The sequence below is a fragment of the Homo sapiens genome, chromosome 20 (genome assembly GCF_000001405.40).
Source record: "Homo sapiens chromosome 20, GRCh38.p14 Primary Assembly".
Taxonomy (NCBI): Eukaryota; Metazoa; Chordata; class Mammalia; order Primates; family Hominidae; genus Homo; species Homo sapiens.
In genome coordinates, this window is record NC_000020.11 from 10,260,862 (window position 1) to 10,278,859 (window position 17,998).

The following is a 17,998-nucleotide window of genomic DNA, read 5'->3' on the forward strand; positions in this document are numbered from 1 at the left end:
ACCTTTCCATAGATCACAGGCAAAAGGAGTTGAAACACTAATAGTAGCTATCTCAGAAATGTGAGCTCCTGATATAACTCTTTCAAATGCTAACTGCCTATCCTAGAAGTCTGTATCTCTGCTTAGGGTACCATGACTGTTTACTAACCACCTCTTGGGTACAGATTACAACTAATATACATTCATGTCAATGAATTTTAAGTTAAATTACAATTTAATGGCTAATATTGAACCAATCTAGTATCTATTCCTTGCAGTAACCAGAGTCATGCTCTGTCTTCTTTTCTCCAAGCTAAATACCCTCATACCCTCAATCATTTTTAGTACAATGGGATTTCAAAGCCCTTGACCACATTGTTCTCCTCCCAGCTTTAAGGTAACTACAAACGAATGAGTATGAACATGTGATTCAGGAAATCGCTTTTTCTGTGGGCTTCCAGATCCCAGGATAAAGGTACCTACACACACCCTAAATGTTCCACTTCTATTCCCTGAGCCACCACACCCTAGACCTTGCTCAAACTCAGAGCCTCTCTTTGCCAAGCTTCCCTTGCCTACGTTTGCACCCTCTACATGGGTCAGACATATGGAAACATAGGCAAGAATGTGGGTGTGTGATCCATCCCCTTATCTATAGCAATGAATTCCCCAGCATAGCACATATACCTTCAGTGGCTGGTGAAATGAGCTTAGGAGGATGATAGATGAAATTTGCAATATACATTTTAGTAATTGTGTATCTACTTTAATGTATATTAAACAAACATAATTAGCCATAACATTTCTGATTTTATAGATATTATTACTTAGAATGAGGCTAGGTTTGAAAGGTGCGTTAAAATCAATGATTTTAAAAAGACTTAGGGAATTAACAATGTAGCGTGCATTTATGCCTAAATTGTGAAGAAAACATAAGAGGCCCAGGGTTTTGGAAAAACTATTCACAAGGATAATGAGTTCAGGATATGGGGACCCTGGCCAGAGTTGTCTTCACCATAAGTACTTTTTCTAGGAAAACAGAAATTATGTTGATCAGCATTATTTACCTGCCAAACTGTTCATCTTTTCTCCAGAAGGCAGTAAAAAATAACACAAAGTGCCAAAACGCAATGAGTTTAGCAACACAAACACCACTGATTCTTTGATAAATACCATACAGCTCATGTGCCTGCTTTTAATTCAGGAGAGAAAGCCTTCTATACCAAGGCCAGCACCCACCAGAGAAGATCTAAGTCAGAAAAAAGTAGAGTTTTAGTTTTGCTATGGAAGGATGATATCATGAAATATAAAAATAGCAATTGTCTGAAATTAACAGTAGGAAAAAGACAGGCTACATTGGCCTTAGTCCTGTTATTTTTATATATTCTAAAAACATTCTCAACTAGCATAGACGAGTCCCTTCCTCTCCACTATTTTGATGTTTGCCATTTCAAGGATACCTTAAGGTGAGCCCTAGATTGGGACTTAAAGATTCAGGCTCTGCGTGACTCTGTAGTTTCAAGTTACTCCACCTTTCTGAGCTTCCCTTCCTCCTGTGACAAATGACACCCAGTAATCCTCAAGTTCTAGCCATTCTGTGATATTCTGAATGTGGAGTCTTCAAATCCAAGTAAGTTCAGCCAAGCTGAGAACACAGAGAATTTTTGTTCTTTTTCCCCTCTTTTCCTGATTCAGTGGTTTGTTGATTCCTCTAAGTACATGGCGTCCAGCTATCCATACGTGATAAAAAAAAAATAGCTCATAAACAAGTGGAAGTTGTCTTCGGTTGGATTCCTCAGAAGCAGACCCTTAGACAGGGATTTATGTGATAGTGATTTATTAAGGCAGTGCTCGCAGGAGAAACCAGAAAGGGAGTTTGGAGAAGGACAGTGGGGACACAAGGAAGCCAAGCCAAGGAGCCCTTGCCAGCAGGGTCCCAACTTTGGCATGATCCTGAGAGAATCTTTGGAGTGTACATTACACCTTATGGTTTGTCTCACCTTAAGGCACAGAAGCAGTACAGGAGCTAGTTTTTTGTACTCCTCTGCCAGTCAGTTGTTAGCTAGGGGCCTGCCCTGGGGGTGGGCGGTGGGGGGAGTAGTGGGTCAAAAGCTCCCAGGTACTTGCTGCCACTCCCAGTGGATCAGGCGAAGCAACCCTGGGGTGCTCTTTTTTTTTTTTTTTTTTTTTTTTTTTGAGACGGAGTCTCGCTCTGTCGCCCAGGCTGGAGTGCAGTGGCGCAGTCTCAGCTCACTGCAAGCTCCGCCTCCCAGCTTCATGTCATTCTCCTGCCTCAGCCACCCGAGTAGCTGGAACTACAGGCGCCCGCCACCATGCCCGGCTAATTTTTTTGTATTTTTGGTAGAGACGGGGTTTCACTGGCTTAGCCAGGATGGTCTCGATCTCCTGACCTCATGATCCGCCCGCCTCGGTCTCCCAAAGTGCTGGGATTACAGGCGTGAGCCACCGCACCAGGCCAACCCTGGGGTATTCTTACAAAGAGGGTCACAGGCACAGAAACACGGAGATGACCACAAAGAACCCCTAAGGGAGCTGAGCAGATACCCAATAACATTGACTACTGAAGGCAAAACTGTTACTAAGCCTGAATACATACCAGCTTCCTTCCAGGTGTTGGTGTGGTCATAGCAGCACAGAAATAGTTTGGTTTTCATGAGAATGGTGGGAGTGGGGTCTTTCTGTTTGGTCTTAGAATCTGTCTGTTCACGCACTCCTGAGAGGAATCATTTTGTTTAGGGTATAACAAGACTTTCTTTTATTGTGGCCAAGTGTTAGCCCCACAGAAGATTACTCATCTCCCAAGAACCAAGCTGTGTACCTCAGAATACAAACATTTTCATCAGTTCTGTCCTAGGATGGGGAAGGAAGAGACCCAAACGCAAAGGTTTCTTGCGAGAGCTCCTAAAACCATCCCTAAGGGGCGGTTCTCCACTCCAGCTTCAGGCTGGATGCGGCTGCACTAACAGTAGCACTCTGTAAATATTGGTTAAATGAATGAACCTGTTACCGTGGTTTGTTTAACTATGAACAGAATCAATGAGACAAGATTGGGGCCCCTCTTCTCTCCTGGTCAGTGAGGCTGCTGTGCTTTGGCTCCTAAGTAAACAATCAGGAACTGTTGCATAATACAAACCACAGGGCTAAATACCCATTTAGCCACATTTGCAAAACAGACAAAAGAAACATTGGCATTTTCGAAAAAGAGAGATTTAGGCATAATCAGTGTTGGTTGTGGCTGGATGCCCTGTTACAATTAAGAAATGCCAATGCTGGCTGCATTTCAATGCCAGGCCTCCCCAGACCCAGCACCCTAAAATACAAAACCCAAGCAGAGGCCGCTTTTCACGATGCTGTCACTAATCCTGGACTAGCCCAGGGAAGGGGCATATCAGGGAAGCCAGACTTCCCTTCTCAGAAGAAACCAGATCAAGACTGTGCCTATTTATATCCAGACATACAGATATAGAATCCCATTTAGGAATGGTGTGGGGTGGAATGTTCTGGGAAATAGATTAGCCAAGCTTGAAAGGAATTGGGCTTTAATGCTAGTGCCTCTTCTCAGAGACACTGTGGGAGAGGGTGACAATTCTGTGGGCTGGTTAAAGTACTTGTCACTTGAGATTGTTCTTCAGCCAAATTCTCCTATAAGAAGCATACTAATGGTGTTTAACACATGCTATGTTATCAGATATTGAAAACAACATAGTGGGAAGGAAAAGGGACCACCACCTCAGATCAAGATGGCCTCCTCAATGCTGGGGAGCCGCGTTCTTGTGTTTTTGGATAGTTTGGATAGTTTGGATAGTTTATCATAAGGTTACCCTTATGGGAAACCAGAGTTTCCCACTGGATCCTTGCAAAGACCTTCAGCCCTAAGTCATGCTACACATGGATCCTTCCACTCTGGGGGACCATAAGAAGGACCTGTGGTTGTTGTTGAAAATGCAGATGCTAGCCCGACCTCCACAGATTGCTTTCCATAGGTAATGTAACTGGGAATCTGCATTTTAGCAAGCAACTAAAAAAGATTTTGATGCAAGGAGATCTCAGACCATGCTTTTTTTTTTTTTTTTTTTCTGAGATGGAGTCTCGCTCTGTTGCCCAGACTGGAGTGCAGTGGCGCGATCTCGGCTTACTAAGAGGCCCTGTTATGAGCCACTGTGACTCATCTGTTATCCAGAAAATGGGTGTAAAATAGATGCAAGATGGTATATCAATTCATTCACAAGACATGTGTTCATCATATTTGAAATATAATCTTTTGATTTAAGTAGGAAATAGTTTAAAACCAGTATTTCCTGCTATGAAAAGAGGAGATTGAATTTCATGCACAGGAATATTCAAAAATACAATAACAAGGAGCCAAGTCCATCCCATGCTTTAGAAAATTTACAACTATGAACACGGCAGATTTAAGAAGTGTCCATTCTTAGTGATAGAAATGTAAACAGAAACTTACAGCATGTTATCTGCTGAAAGTACTTTTTGCTCTGGTCCTTAGTTTGCCTTAAAACATAAGCTTTAATTATTTGCAGAGGGAGAAGAATAATTTATCAGCACCATCCACAGAGTCTCCAATGCACAAAATCCTCAGTCTCTTCTTCCTCTGTCTTACAGAACAAGACTTCACAAACCTTGTTATTTGGGAGAGACAGAACATCGTCAGTGTGCTTTTTCTAATAACTATCTTCTCTTCATTTTCTGAATACAAGAATTTATCTCATGGAAATCAGTCATTTTGTCCACCCTCCAGTGCAGGGCACCATTAGGAGACTCAGAACCCATGGCCCCGTGGAGCTTTCAGTCAGCTTGGGAGGTAAATGATGTTGGGAGTCTGTAGGACATGTGAATTGGTGAGGTTAAAATAACATCGCGTGGTCAAGAGTGGAGCACAGGCACAGAGTCACCCCCAAGGTGGGAACTCCACCTCTCACACCTACCAGCCTAATATGGAGATAATGTGATTTAGGGCAGCACTTCTCAAACTTAGTGCTTGATATGTTGTTCAGTACGTGATCCAATCCAATAAGTCTGGGGTGGAACTCCTAACAAGCTCCCTGGTGAGGCCGATGCTGGTCTGGGGAACACATTTGGAGTACCAAAGGTTTGGGGGTTTCTATATAATCCCCCTAGTTTCATATAAAGTTCTTAGTTTGATTCCTATCACATTGCAAGTTCTTGACAAATAACTATTATTATGAAGAGTGTTTTGACAACTAACAGTTGTGCGGCATAGAATGTTAGAATAGATGCAGCTGATTTTGCCTAACAGGGAAAGGCTGCTTCAAACCTGGGGCAAATTCTGATGATTCAGAAAATGGAAGGAATCACCTCTTCACCAGTTTCACTCACCCTTTCAATGAGGGGACTTAGGGAGTTGTCTCAGCAGCAGTCACTGTGCTTAACAATATATTCCCTTAGAATAAGTGCTTTGCATCTTACGGTTGCATTCTCTTCAAGAAATTTCATCCAGTGAAAATAATAGCACCAAACCCATTTTTGATCATATTCCCATGCCATTACAGTCAGGGAAAGAGATTATTAGTCTCCAAACAAATCCAAGTACTGGCTCTTTCTGGAGGGCAAGAATAGAAACCCAGAGAAAAAAAGGTGGCTATTGTGAGCCAAATGAGAGCACATTAACCCATGACTTAGATGCTTAGATGCATTAGTTTGATGTTGTTGCTGTTGTTTTGGTTTGTTTGATGAAGATGAGAGACATAAGGCTAAGAGAAATGAATATTTGATTGGATTGAGTTTGATCAAGGTTGTGCAATATGAATAACATAGTAGAACAGGGTTATGGTAGCAACACTTATCTTCAATATTGATAAAAGCAATAATGCACTATGAAAAGGTAGCAATCATGGACCTATAAACATGACAACACAGCTGCAAAATGTAAAGAGTGAAAATGGGCTGAAATAGAAGAAATTGATGGAACGAACTCACTGTTGAAGACCTGAACACATCCCTTTCAGAAATCAATAGGTCAAATTGACTAGGGAATTTAGAGAGTTTGAAAACATAAACTTTCCTTTTCTGCTTGATTTGATGTCAATAGGTAGGTAGTTAGAGTCAAAGACAGAATGGACTTTCTTTTCAGACACAAATTAAATATTCACAGCCATTGGCCATGTGTTAAGGCACAAAGGAAATCTCAACAAATTCCAAACAGTAAAAATCATATGGACCACTTTCAACATATTGAAAATAAAATTAGAGATCACAAAAAAACCTCTAATATTTAAATCTTAACATCACATTTTCAAATAACTCTTGCATTAGAGAGGAAATTAAAGCTGAAATTTAAAACTATATAGAAATAAATAACAAAGAACATACTATATGACAAAACCTGTAAGATACAGCCACAGTAACACATAGAGCACAATTTATAGCAATAAGTATACTATACCCAGAACAAGAAAAATGCCAAGTAAATAAGTCATTTGTCAATTCAAGAAGATATAAAAGGAACAACACAATAACACATCTTAGGAAGAAAAAAGAAATAAGAATAAAGGTGAGGGTGGGAGGTGTGGAAGAATCAGTGATTTAAAATATAGGTAGAGATGATAAACAATAATGAAAACTGGGATTTACTGAGGTGAACCTGTCAAATCACTCTGTGTTGTTTTCCAATATGTAAATGAAACTAAAAATAGTCTCCAGGTTTTTTGTTTGTTTGTTTCTTTGTTTGTTTTTTTGAGACAGAGTCTCGCTCTGTCACCAGGCTAGAGTGCAGTGGCATGATCTTGGCTCACTACAACCTCCGCCTCCCAGGTACGAGGTTTCTCCTGCCTCAGCCTCCCGAGTGCCTGGGACTACAGGCACACGCCACCACACCCAGCTAATTTTTGTATTTTTAGTAGAAGCGGGGTTTCACCCTGTTGGCCAGGATGGTCTCTAGCTCTTGACCTTGTGATCTGCCCGCCTCGGCCTCCCAAAGTGCTGGGATTATAGGCATAAGCCACCGTGCCCGGCCAATAGTCTCCAGTTTTTAATTAAAACATGAAATAGCTACACACTTTGCTTTGAGAATAAATATGCTATGAAAATATGTTTTTTAAATCACCCAAACTCTTGATCTAACATTTAGCCTAATCTTAATAGTTACCGCTAAGCCTGTTTCATAATCTCAAAGTGGGGATAGTAATAGTATGCACAGCGTGTGTCACTGAAAGTTTGTGTAAAGGTATATTTTATATGAAAAGCACTTAAAATAGTGCCCAACAAAGAGCAAGCCCTCCGTAAGTGTTAGTTAATATGATTATTATTAATAGATAAGGAGAGTTGTCCCACTTGGTTTATAAAATCCTTTTTTTCTTCTTTGGGCTTTGTTGAATATAGTGAGTTTTCATAAACTTTTGTTGAATTTGAAGGTGTACCTCCACCAGAAAACAGGCAGGGTCTGCAGGAAGAGAAGGATCCATCCTGCAGAAGCTTCATACAAATGATGAACAGTGTGGCGAGACATCAAGATGTAGGTTTTGGCTCTCTGTGATAATTCAGCTGATGGGTGTTGATTTATACATATTTGTTAGTTTGGTTTATTTATTAAAAGAGGAACAGAAAGAAATATATTAGATCAGGGTACACTTTCCTTATGCCTTTCCTGAGACATTCCTGTCCTTTGGCACTTGGACTAATGACCCATGTCCCCAGCATAATAGCCATGTCTCTATTCACTTTGTATATCAAAAAGCACACCCTGCTCTATCCACACTCACCTCTCTTCCTGGGCCCTAAACTCATATTTCAGTTCAGAGTCTTCAGCAGGAACGCATTTTTACCCTAAGGCACCTAACTAAGTAAGCCCCTTGACAGGGAAGAACAGTTTTCTGTGGAGTCCATTTGCTCCTCATGTCATTAAGGTTTCAGATAGACTTAAGTGTAGCATTAAAGAATAAAGAGCTTTTCAAATTACCCTTGACACTGAAGAATAACTGCAGCCTGCCCACCGTGAAGCAAGTATCTTGACAGTGACAGACCCTCAGATGTTTCCGTTTCTGATGCTAAACATCTGTCTCAGATGTTTCTGTCTCCCACCACTACTGCTGGGGCTGGGAACATTTGTCCACAACTGGTTGCAGAAGTTAGAAATTGTTTTGAGGGCCACAAGGGCACCCTATAACCTTGCAATCAATCATATAGATTAAATCTGATTTGCAATCCTAAAATCCTGTAGGAATAGTCAATCAAAGGCAAATTTGTTTTTACATCTTGTATTTTACTTCATGCATTGTTTTAAAATATGTTCCAGAAGTCCGGCGCAGTGTCTCACGCCTGTAACCCGGCACTTTGGGAGGTCAGGGCAGGTGGATCACTTGAGGTCAGGGGTTCGAGACCAGCCTGGCCAACATGGTGAAACCCCATCTCTACTAAAAATACAAAACTAGCCAGACATGGTGTGCATGCCTGTACTCCCAGTTACTCCGGAGGCTGAGGTTGCACTTGAACCCGGGAGGTGGAGGTTGCAGTGAGCCAAGATTGTGCCACCGCACTCCCACCTGGGCGACAGAGCAAGGCTCCATCTTAAAAATAAAAAATTAAAAATAAACTATGTTCCAGAAAACACTAACCCCACCTTAGAAGCTCCATGAAAAGGGGATTTTACAGACACATATGAACAGAAAAAATATACCATGTGTGTCTATAGGAAATGTATAATGCTCTGGGGATATTAAGATTGATTTTGAAAAATTTCAGAATTTTTGCTTAATTCTTTTTAGGCTAAGGATCTGCAAATATTTTCTGCATAGAACCAGGTAGTAACTATTTTCAGCTTTTGGGGGCATATAGTCTTTCCACTCAACTCTGTTGTTGTAGCATGAAAGGAGCCATTGACAACAGATAAACAAATGGATGTGTGTGTGCTCCAGTAAAACTTTATTTATGGACCCTAAAATTTGAATTTCATATAATTTTCACATGTCACAAAATTTTTTCTCTGAGTCTTTTAAATCATTTTAAAAATGTAAAAACCATCCTCAGCTCAAGGCCAATACAAGAACAGCTGGATTTGGCCCGTGGGCCCTAACTTCCCGAAAGCCCCTGGTTAATGTAGCCTGCCCCTTGTTTCCCACTCTATATAACTATAGGACTCCAGCCCGGCACGGTGGCTTACGCCTGTCATCCCAGCACTTTGGGAGGCCGAGGCGGGCGGATCACCTGAGGTCAGGAGTTCGAAACCAGCCTGACCAACATGGAGAAACCCCGTCTCTACTAAAAATACAAAATTAGCCTGGCGTGGTGGTGCATGCCTGTAATCCCAGCTACTTGGGAGGCCGAGGGAGGAGAATTGCTTGAAATCTGGGAGGCAGAGGTTGTGGTGAGCCGAGATCATGCCATTGCACTCCAGCCTGGGCAACAAGAGCGAAACTCTATCTCAAAAACAGCAAGAAGAAAAAACTACAGGACTCCCACCACCCCACCTGGTGATGCTCATGAACATTCCAAGAGAGAAGGTCCTACAGACCAGAGCTACTCAACGTGTGCTCTGTGAACCAGCAGCTTCAGCATCACCTGAAGGCTGGCTGGAAATGCAGAATCAGCTGGCCACGATGGCTCACGCCTGTAATACCAGCACTTTGGGAGGCCAAGGCAGGTGGATCTCTTGAGGTGAGGAGTTCGAGACCAGCCTGGCCAACATGGTGAAACCCTATCTCTACTAAAAATACAAAAAATTAGCTGGGCGTGGTGGCATGCACCTGTAATCCCAGCTGCTTGGGAGGCTGAGGCAGCAGAATTACTTGAACCAGGAGGCAGAGGTTGCAGTGAGCTGAGATGGCACCACTGCACTCCAGCCAAGGTGACAGAGTGAAACTCTGTCTCAAAAAAAAAAAAGAAAGAAAGAAATGCAGAATCAGTGACCCCATTTCAGACCAACTGAATTAGAATCCCTGAGGGTAGGGCCCAGCAATCCATTTTAACAAGGTTTCTGCATATTCTGACTCTGGGGGAAGTTTCAGAAGCTCTGTCCTGGACCACACCTTGTAAAGTGCTGATTTGGGAACACTGAATGCTACATGGGAGTGTCAGAACAGTTCATCCATGTCAGTTAACATGAATTGAACCCTTACTAGGGGTCAGACCCTTTGCTAATAAGCACTGGTGATTTGAGATAATTAATTAGATACTGTTAGGCTCTTAATAGACTGGGAGTTTGTCTTACAATCAGAGCCTCGGGGAATAGTTTTGAGTGGCTTTTCTTCCTAATTTCTTCTGCTTCCTAGTTTCCTCTTTCTACCTGCTCTGCAACACACAAGATGGCAGTTTATTGTGCTAATATGAGGGATGTATTGCAGGCTGCCTTGATCATAAATGCCACTTCACTACTAACGTCCTTTCAGCTACTGAAATTACTATTAATAAACATCCTTATGCCTCTTCAGCTGCTGTCTTTTAGAATGCTAACATGCATGAGTTTGGGGTTTATAGGAACAATTTATTAAACACTAGCAGTAAACATCCCAACAGAAGATCTGGAGGTACGCTCAGCGCCCACTCTCCAGCCGTTCTTATTAGGAGAGGGGGAATTGCTTTTTCAGCTTTGAAATGCTGTGTGTTTGAGATCCACCAGATTCATCAGCCCTCCTCCCAAATCACAGACGTATCTCCATGTTTTAGAGCAGGACAAAGGTGTGGGAGTTCCTGGGGGAACCGTGAAAGTGATGAAACCAAGGGTATCTGCCACATGGCTTCTCCGCCATCGCACCAGCTGCCCATCAGCCAGGCCTGGATAGGCTGCTGTCAGCTTGGAGCCAGGGCGCCCTACAGCTGTTCTTCACATGCTGAGAATAACAACTTTGAGAGGAGATTGCCAAGGAAACACAGGAAACTTGAGTATGTGTGAGAGAGAGGGAGAGCGAGAGAGAGAGAGAGAAGAGAGAGAGCATGCACAGAAACATTCATCAGCAAATAGACCTGAAGGAGTGGGACAGAGCAATAGCACTACAAGTCTGAAAGCACATGGACCCCTGCCTTCTAATAAACTGGCCTGTGAAAAGGAAAGGTCAATGGCTTGCTTAGGCCGAAGATACACATTTCCCCCCCAGGAACCCAGCAGCAAAATATAAAGATGGAGCGTGGGGCCAGAAGGCACTCTTGTTTGTCTCCTCGTGGTACTCCTGTGAGAGGTGCTGCTTGGAGACTGGAGGCTCAGGCACTCTGCTGGTTTCCCTGGTTTCAAGCTTCCATGGGTGCTCAGCACCACAGCAACATGTCTTGTGCCTAGCCGTTAGTAGAGGAAAGCTGATTAACAAATACCGGGTTTGTTCCACTCTTAGCCAAGGGTGTAGGGCTGTCCTGAATTAGTGAGGCTTTCTGAATATTAAGCTCCACATCCTTTTTTACAAAAAATGTTGGCCAGAACTTTTCTGTAATTTATTCCCCTCAACAACCCCATGAGATTGGCATTGTTTGTCCTGTTGAGAAAACTAAAGCTCAGAGATGGTGATGAACTTACCCAGACTCACCCAGCTTCTGAGCGCCAGAGCCAGCGGTCCAGCTGGGTCTTTCTGACATCAATGCCTTTATCCACCCACTCCACTGAACTATGGTCCATAGTCTACTCAACTTCCCCACGGGTCCACTGCTTTATTCTGGAGGGTAGATCCCCGGTCACTTGGGAATACTAAAATTTCATTTTTGTGCATCTTAAGATTCTGGAGTGACTTGGTGTAAATTCCTTCCAGTGTCTGTTTTCTAGATCCTAATTTGTAAAATGGAGACATGGAAATAAAGTCTCATGTATTTAAATAAAACACAGTGTTCACATCTCTACATCATCTCACGAGCACATGTTCTAGTGGCCAGAACACGCATTCGAAAATTAGCAGGCTCATCGTAAGATGCTCTGTCAGTTATAAAATGACTGCCCATAAAGCTAACCTCACATAAACTTACTCCATTATTTGTTTAATGCCAGTGGTAGAATAAGGCAACCCTGAAGTTTTGTTATTTCTTTTTTTACTCAGATTCCATATTTGTTGCTTTGCCCGGCAATCACTGGGTAGAGAACGGTGAAACCTGTTATCTCCAAAGAAGTTTCACTTTAGGATTCCTTCTAAGAACCCTAAAGAGTATGATTTCTCCTTTTTCACAAGAGCAATAAATTTGGAAAGTGATATTAATATGTACTAAAATTCCATCCTTGTTGAGAAAGCAATAGAATCGTGGACCTGGAGGGTGAGATGGCAGAGCCTCCTCCCCCAGGATCAGATCTAGGACCTGCCTCTGGGAACTTTTGTTCCCTTGCCTCCCAATGAGTATGTTCCTGATTTTTTTTTTCATACAGAATTTTCATTTTTATTTTTCCGAAAAGTGATTCTCATTCTCATGCAAATAATAATAATAATAAACATGGTAGTGCCCCAAGGCCCCAAATCTAATTTCCTCTCCCAGCTTCGGTTTTCAATAGAAAGACAAACAAAAATATGTTTTTTGGTTAGGAAATCATGCTCATATGCAATGTTTCTGTTTCATTTTAAGTTTCTTCAGACATTTACTAGTTAGTGTAACACAGGCTGCTATAACAAAACAACCCTCACATTTTCCATAGCATAATAGAAATATATTGTTTGCTCACGTAAGAGTTCAGGTGTTACTGGCCAGGAGTCATTTTTCTCCATGCAGGGATATGGAGGGCCCAAGTTCCTTCTGTCTCATGGTCTCATGGCTTAACCATCCTTTAAGACTGTATTTCTGGCAGAAGGAGAAACAGAGGGAGGAGAATACCTGCTTCTGAACTGCCTTAGACTGACAGGGACACACTTTGTTCTACTACCACTCATGGACTGTCTCTAGCCACAGAGCACCACTTCCTTGCAATGGGAATTAGAAATGTAATTCCTGGCTGCACAGCCATTTCCCAGAGATCATGCTCTACCATGCAACAGTGAGGTTAAAGTGCACAGTTGACCATCTCCGCTACAAGACAAGAGCCCATGCCTTCTTCAAATGTGCTACTCACAGAGAATTTTTCATTCTATCAGATACCTACCCCATCGGGCCCTTTGCCCCCTTCCCTTCGATGGCCTGGGGACATGGCTTCCTCAGAAAGGCCTGTTGCAAACCCATGGGCACCCATGATACCAGACATGTCCCCTAGTGTAATTATCATCATCCTGAATCATCTAATTCCCTCTTTTGCTTGCATCTCCCCAATTAGACTGAATTCTGTAAAGGCAGGGAATTTGCCTATCTTGTCCATCACTGTATCCCTAGTGCCTAACACTGCCTGGCATATTACAGGTGCTCAATAAATATTTGAGAAGGAAGGAGGAAGGAGGGCTCTCTCCGGAATAGACCCAGTCCTTGTACCTGTCATTTGTACCATGTGGGATTTCAAGAGAGTAGCCAAGAAATGGACTGGTCACCTTTCAGGACCAAGGACCCACCCTCTTTGGAGTGATAGCAGCTCACCCTCACACAAGCCCTTTTGGCAACCTCTGATGATGACTGAAATAGATGAAAGATTTTCTGCCTTTGGCTTCCACATGCTTCTAAACACAATGGAACACTATTCAACAACAAAAATTGAATGAACTATTAATACATGCTGCAACATAGATAAATCTCAAAATAATTATGCTAAGTGAAAGAAGGCAGACAAAAAGTAGTACACACTATGTGATTTTTATTTATATAAAATTATAGGAAATGCAAACTAATGTATAGTGACAGAAAGTAGATCAGGCTGGGTGCGGTGGCTCACGCCTGTAATCCCAGCACTTTGGGAGGCCAAGGCAGGCGGATCACAAGGTCAGGAGATCGAGACCATCCTGGCCAACACAGTGAAACCCCGTCTCTACTAAAAATACAAAAAATTAGCCAGGTGTGGTGGTAGGCACCTGTAGTCCCAGCTACTCGGGAGGCTGAGGCAGGAGAATGGCGTGAACCCGGGAGGCAGAGCTTGCAGTGAGCTGAGATCACGCCACTGCACTCCAGCCTGGGCGACAGAGCGAGACTCTGTCTCAAAAAAATAAAAAAAAGAAAGTAGATCAGCAGTTTTCTGGGCATAGACATGTGGGATAGGGCAGGGGCCAGTGGGTGGGTAGGAAATTTGGAGGAGTAATGGCTATGTTCATTGTTTTGATTGCAGTCATGGTTTCCTGGGTGTATACATATGTCAAAACTTCTCAAGTTGTACACTTCAAATATGTGGGGTGGACTGTATATCTGTTATACCTTAATAGAGCTATTTAAATAAATAAATAAATAAATAAATAAATAAATAAATAAATAAATGTGATGATAAAAGTACACTAACCCCAAACCACATCCCTCCAACCTCATCATTCCCAACCCTTGGGTAGTTTGTCTCTTTAAAAATATTTCATCGGTAGATAGGTGTCTATCTCCATGGCAGAATTGGCAAGTATGTATTTGTGGCATCCTTCGGAGAAACAGCACAATTCTGTTGACCCCTGTCTGAGTATGGCTTTCAGATCAGAAAACTGAGTCATGTGGACTGAGTATGGGCCATTTAGATTTTCTGGTCTTTGCACACACCTACATGAACATATATAAGCTCTCATATTTTCATATCTACTTCTTCCCAGGTCCAGAGCCAAACCCGTCACTGACCCCCCAGCCCAGGCGCCCAGCCACTCCCCACCGCTACCATGGCCGAAGACGCAGACATGCGCAATGAGCTGGAGGAGATGCAGCGAAGGGCTGACCAGTTGGCTGATGAGGTAAGGAGTGGAGACCTAGGAAGGGAGGCAAAAGATGAAGGCCTGAGTGGTTTGTCTTATTCAGGTTCAGGTAGGGAAAGCCTTTCTTTCAATGTCTCAATTTCTTTTAGAAAAAGTAATATGACTTTGATTTTCTGTACACCTAAGGCTTCTGTGGACCAGAATAAGTTGATTATAGAAGCTGCATACAAATTACTGTCTTGGCCCTAACTCTCAATTTCCAGAAACCTTGAGAAGTCAAGGTCCTCTAAGAAAAGAAAGCAATGTCTTTGGGTGCCTTAATTCAGTGCTATGCTGGAGAAGGCTCAGTTCCGAGAACAGATTGTTAACATTTTCAGGAACTTTGCAAGCTGGTTGCTAAATGCAGCCATTATTAAAACTGAATTACATAAACTGACAATTAGATAGATTCTATTAAAATCAAAAGTAATAAACACTCAAACTTCATCACTTCCTAATTATTTTGCTACATTTTACTATTATCCATGATCTTGAGATTCATCCATTTTATCTGTAGGGTGGAAATAAGGTATAATAATGTGTTACCATGTGTCTTTCCAACTTCATGATCAGTAATATGAAGTTGTAGCTTAAAATCAGGCAGAGCTGGGTACAGCGGCTCTCACCTGTGATCTCGGCTACTTGGGAGGCTGAGGCAGGAGGATCGCATAGGCCAAGAGTTCATGACCAGCCTGAGCAACATAGAGAGACTCCCATCTCTAAAAATATTTAAAAATTTAAAAATCAGACAGAGTAAGAGTATTTATCACCCAAGAATCTGCAAATACTGCAGATCAGGACTTGACTTATTGTTTTGCTGATTGTCTAGACTTTAAAAAGTAGAGAAAATATTAATAATGCAGATTAAAGTTAAAAGTATGTATGTCTGCAGCCATTATACTATGAATAACACAAAAAGAGGAAATCTTCCAGTATTTGAAAATTATGATTCTCTAAGGCAAAGAAATCCTTTTTGTCATTCACAAATGAGTACAATTCCAACACATGCCTTCATTGTTTAATTTTCTTCTTACTCATTAATATACATGAAAATATCCAACCAACATTCATGTCAGAACTACTCTGGTTCATCACATGGTTAGCTGTAGACACAAAAGTTCAGCAAAAATCAGTAAAAGTTTTCTGTGAGAATCAATTGGCTATGCGGAATTTACAATAAAGAGAGTATTGTATATTTTATTATTATTTATAAATTTTGTGCTATTCATCCTTTATATCAGTAAAATAATAAACTTGAATACATGTATGTATTTGTGTATTTTTCCCAGAGAGCCGGTAGTTAAACCTTTACCAGCAGACTGCTGCTTGCAGCCATTCTATTTCAAAAAGCAGCTGGCTGACAGCTCTTCCAGGGAAGTTAACATCCTTCAGGTTCCTGCAGAATCTTGTTCAAAATAAGTTTGTCAGTTAAAAGCAAAGCTTTGAGAAATCACACTGGTTGTTGGATTCTAGTCGTTTCAAAAGAACTGAGAAAAAAGTGACAACGCAGTGCCCGGGGGACCATTGCAGAGCTCAGCCTTTCCGTCTCGTTTTTTCTTATCTAAGGATGAAGATAATTATTATAGCTCTCTCCTATAGGCTGGTCATTTCAAACATGCTTGATTTTTTTCACCCTAAGGCAACAACTTAATTTGTATTGATAAGAACTTCCAATTGTGTTTCTAGGAGCTTTGTAAGAAACTTGATGTTATATTCATCTCGATTCATGAAAAATTATGTTTGTGTTTAAAATTTAATGTTCCTGGCCCAGGGAGGCCAAATTAGTCCTCTGAGTAATTGAGATAATTTTTCATGCATTCTGAGCATGCAAAATTATCTTCTCCAGATTACTTTGTCTTTGATATCAAGATCAGCTTCATATGGTTTTTATTTTCTGAAGATAAGCTGTAATGTAATTGCTTTAGGGAATCTGATCATGTAAAAAGCCTGATAGGAAAGAGTTTGAAAATGTAATGACATTTTTTGTTTCACTTGCCAACTGAAAAGAATATGTGACAGAGACCCTTTGTGTTTCTCAAGTAAATAAAGTATTTCTGATTTTCCAAGATCTCTGGATCCTGCACTCATAAAGTTTATGTTTGTTTGTTTTTTAAATCTTAGTCGCTGGAAAGCACCCGTCGTATGCTGCAACTGGTTGAAGAGGTAAGAAGTGACAGTATTTTAAGATAAAGGAACAAATCCCTTATGCTGATACATCCTTTCCTAGTTGCTATGATGTTTCCTTGGGCCATGATCCCCTAGATTCCAGTGTGGATGTAGCCTATCAGAAAGGCACAGAATGAGGGAGATGCTGTATTTAAGTTGCCAGATAGCCATGAAGACACCTTCACCCTCCTTCCCAGCCCAAGCCACCTCTGTAGTCTGGTCTGGGAAGCAGAGAATAATAGAATTTCCAAGTCTGTGCTCTCAAGAAATCACAGACGATTGTATCACTTTAAGCAAATTAGAGCAATTCTTAATATACAAAGGAATTATCTACATAAAACTTTATTTGTAATTATTTTTGTGCCTATAAATTACATCTAATCTTGAGATTCTGTTCTAACTTTAGCCACATATATGACTTTTAAAAATATGTACGCATATAGGTGTATCATTTTTAGAAATTGTTCTATTTAAAGTCAAGCACTAAAATTTATGAAAAAATAGGAAAGCCCTTTAACAAAGGGAAATATCAAGTCCAATAATATAAATACAGAAGCTTTTTTATATTCCTGCCTGGATTGAGCATCCATTTGCCAGGCAGGGTTAATGAATCCCAAACTATTTTTAAATGGGTAAAATGGGGCAAATAGCAATAATGGAATCAAAAGGGCACTTGCAATCATAAACCTCACTCATTCCAATTTGGTAGAGCAGCAGTCGGCCAGGCAAAATAAATGGATTAATTGAACTTGCCCAATGGGAGAGATGAAGTGGAAAAAGAATGGGTTGGACTATACTTATCTTAACCTAATAAGACAAGCCTAATAGTTTTTATTCAGCGAGATGCTGTTTTAGCTGTGCTTTGAACTGCTTATCAGTATATAAATTCATGTGTGATTATCGTTTTTAGAGATCTTGGGCTTTCTCTGGCAGAATGATTAAATGAGCCTACTCCCCTCATGCTATCATAAATTTCATATGCAACAACTTGAAAGGGAAGAAAAGATAAATTTTACAAAGGATAAAAGGAAAGGCAGCCGCCTCTCACACTCTAGGAGCCAATGTCCTCCTTCTCTTATTTCTGTAGCTTCAGCTTCTCACCTAGGAATGAGATATGGCTAAATGTGAAT

General features: G+C 41.3%; 1 protein-coding gene across 15 annotated transcripts in view; it reads left to right on the forward strand.

The window, feature by feature from the left end:
• SNAP25 (synaptosome associated protein 25) overlaps window positions 1-17,998 on the forward strand; it is an 88,589-nt gene that overhangs the window by 42,032 nt on the left and 28,559 nt on the right. For all 15 annotated transcript variants that reach the window (NM_001424416.1, NM_001322907.2, NM_001322910.2 and 12 more), the window contains 2 exons: window positions 14,568-14,702; window positions 16,824-16,865. In NM_001424416.1, coding sequence (NP_001411345.1) covers window positions 14,631-14,702; window positions 16,824-16,865 — 114 coding nt within the window. In that variant the 5' untranslated portion in view covers window positions 14,568-14,630. The remainder of the gene's footprint in view (window positions 1-14,567; window positions 14,703-16,823; window positions 16,866-17,998) is intronic.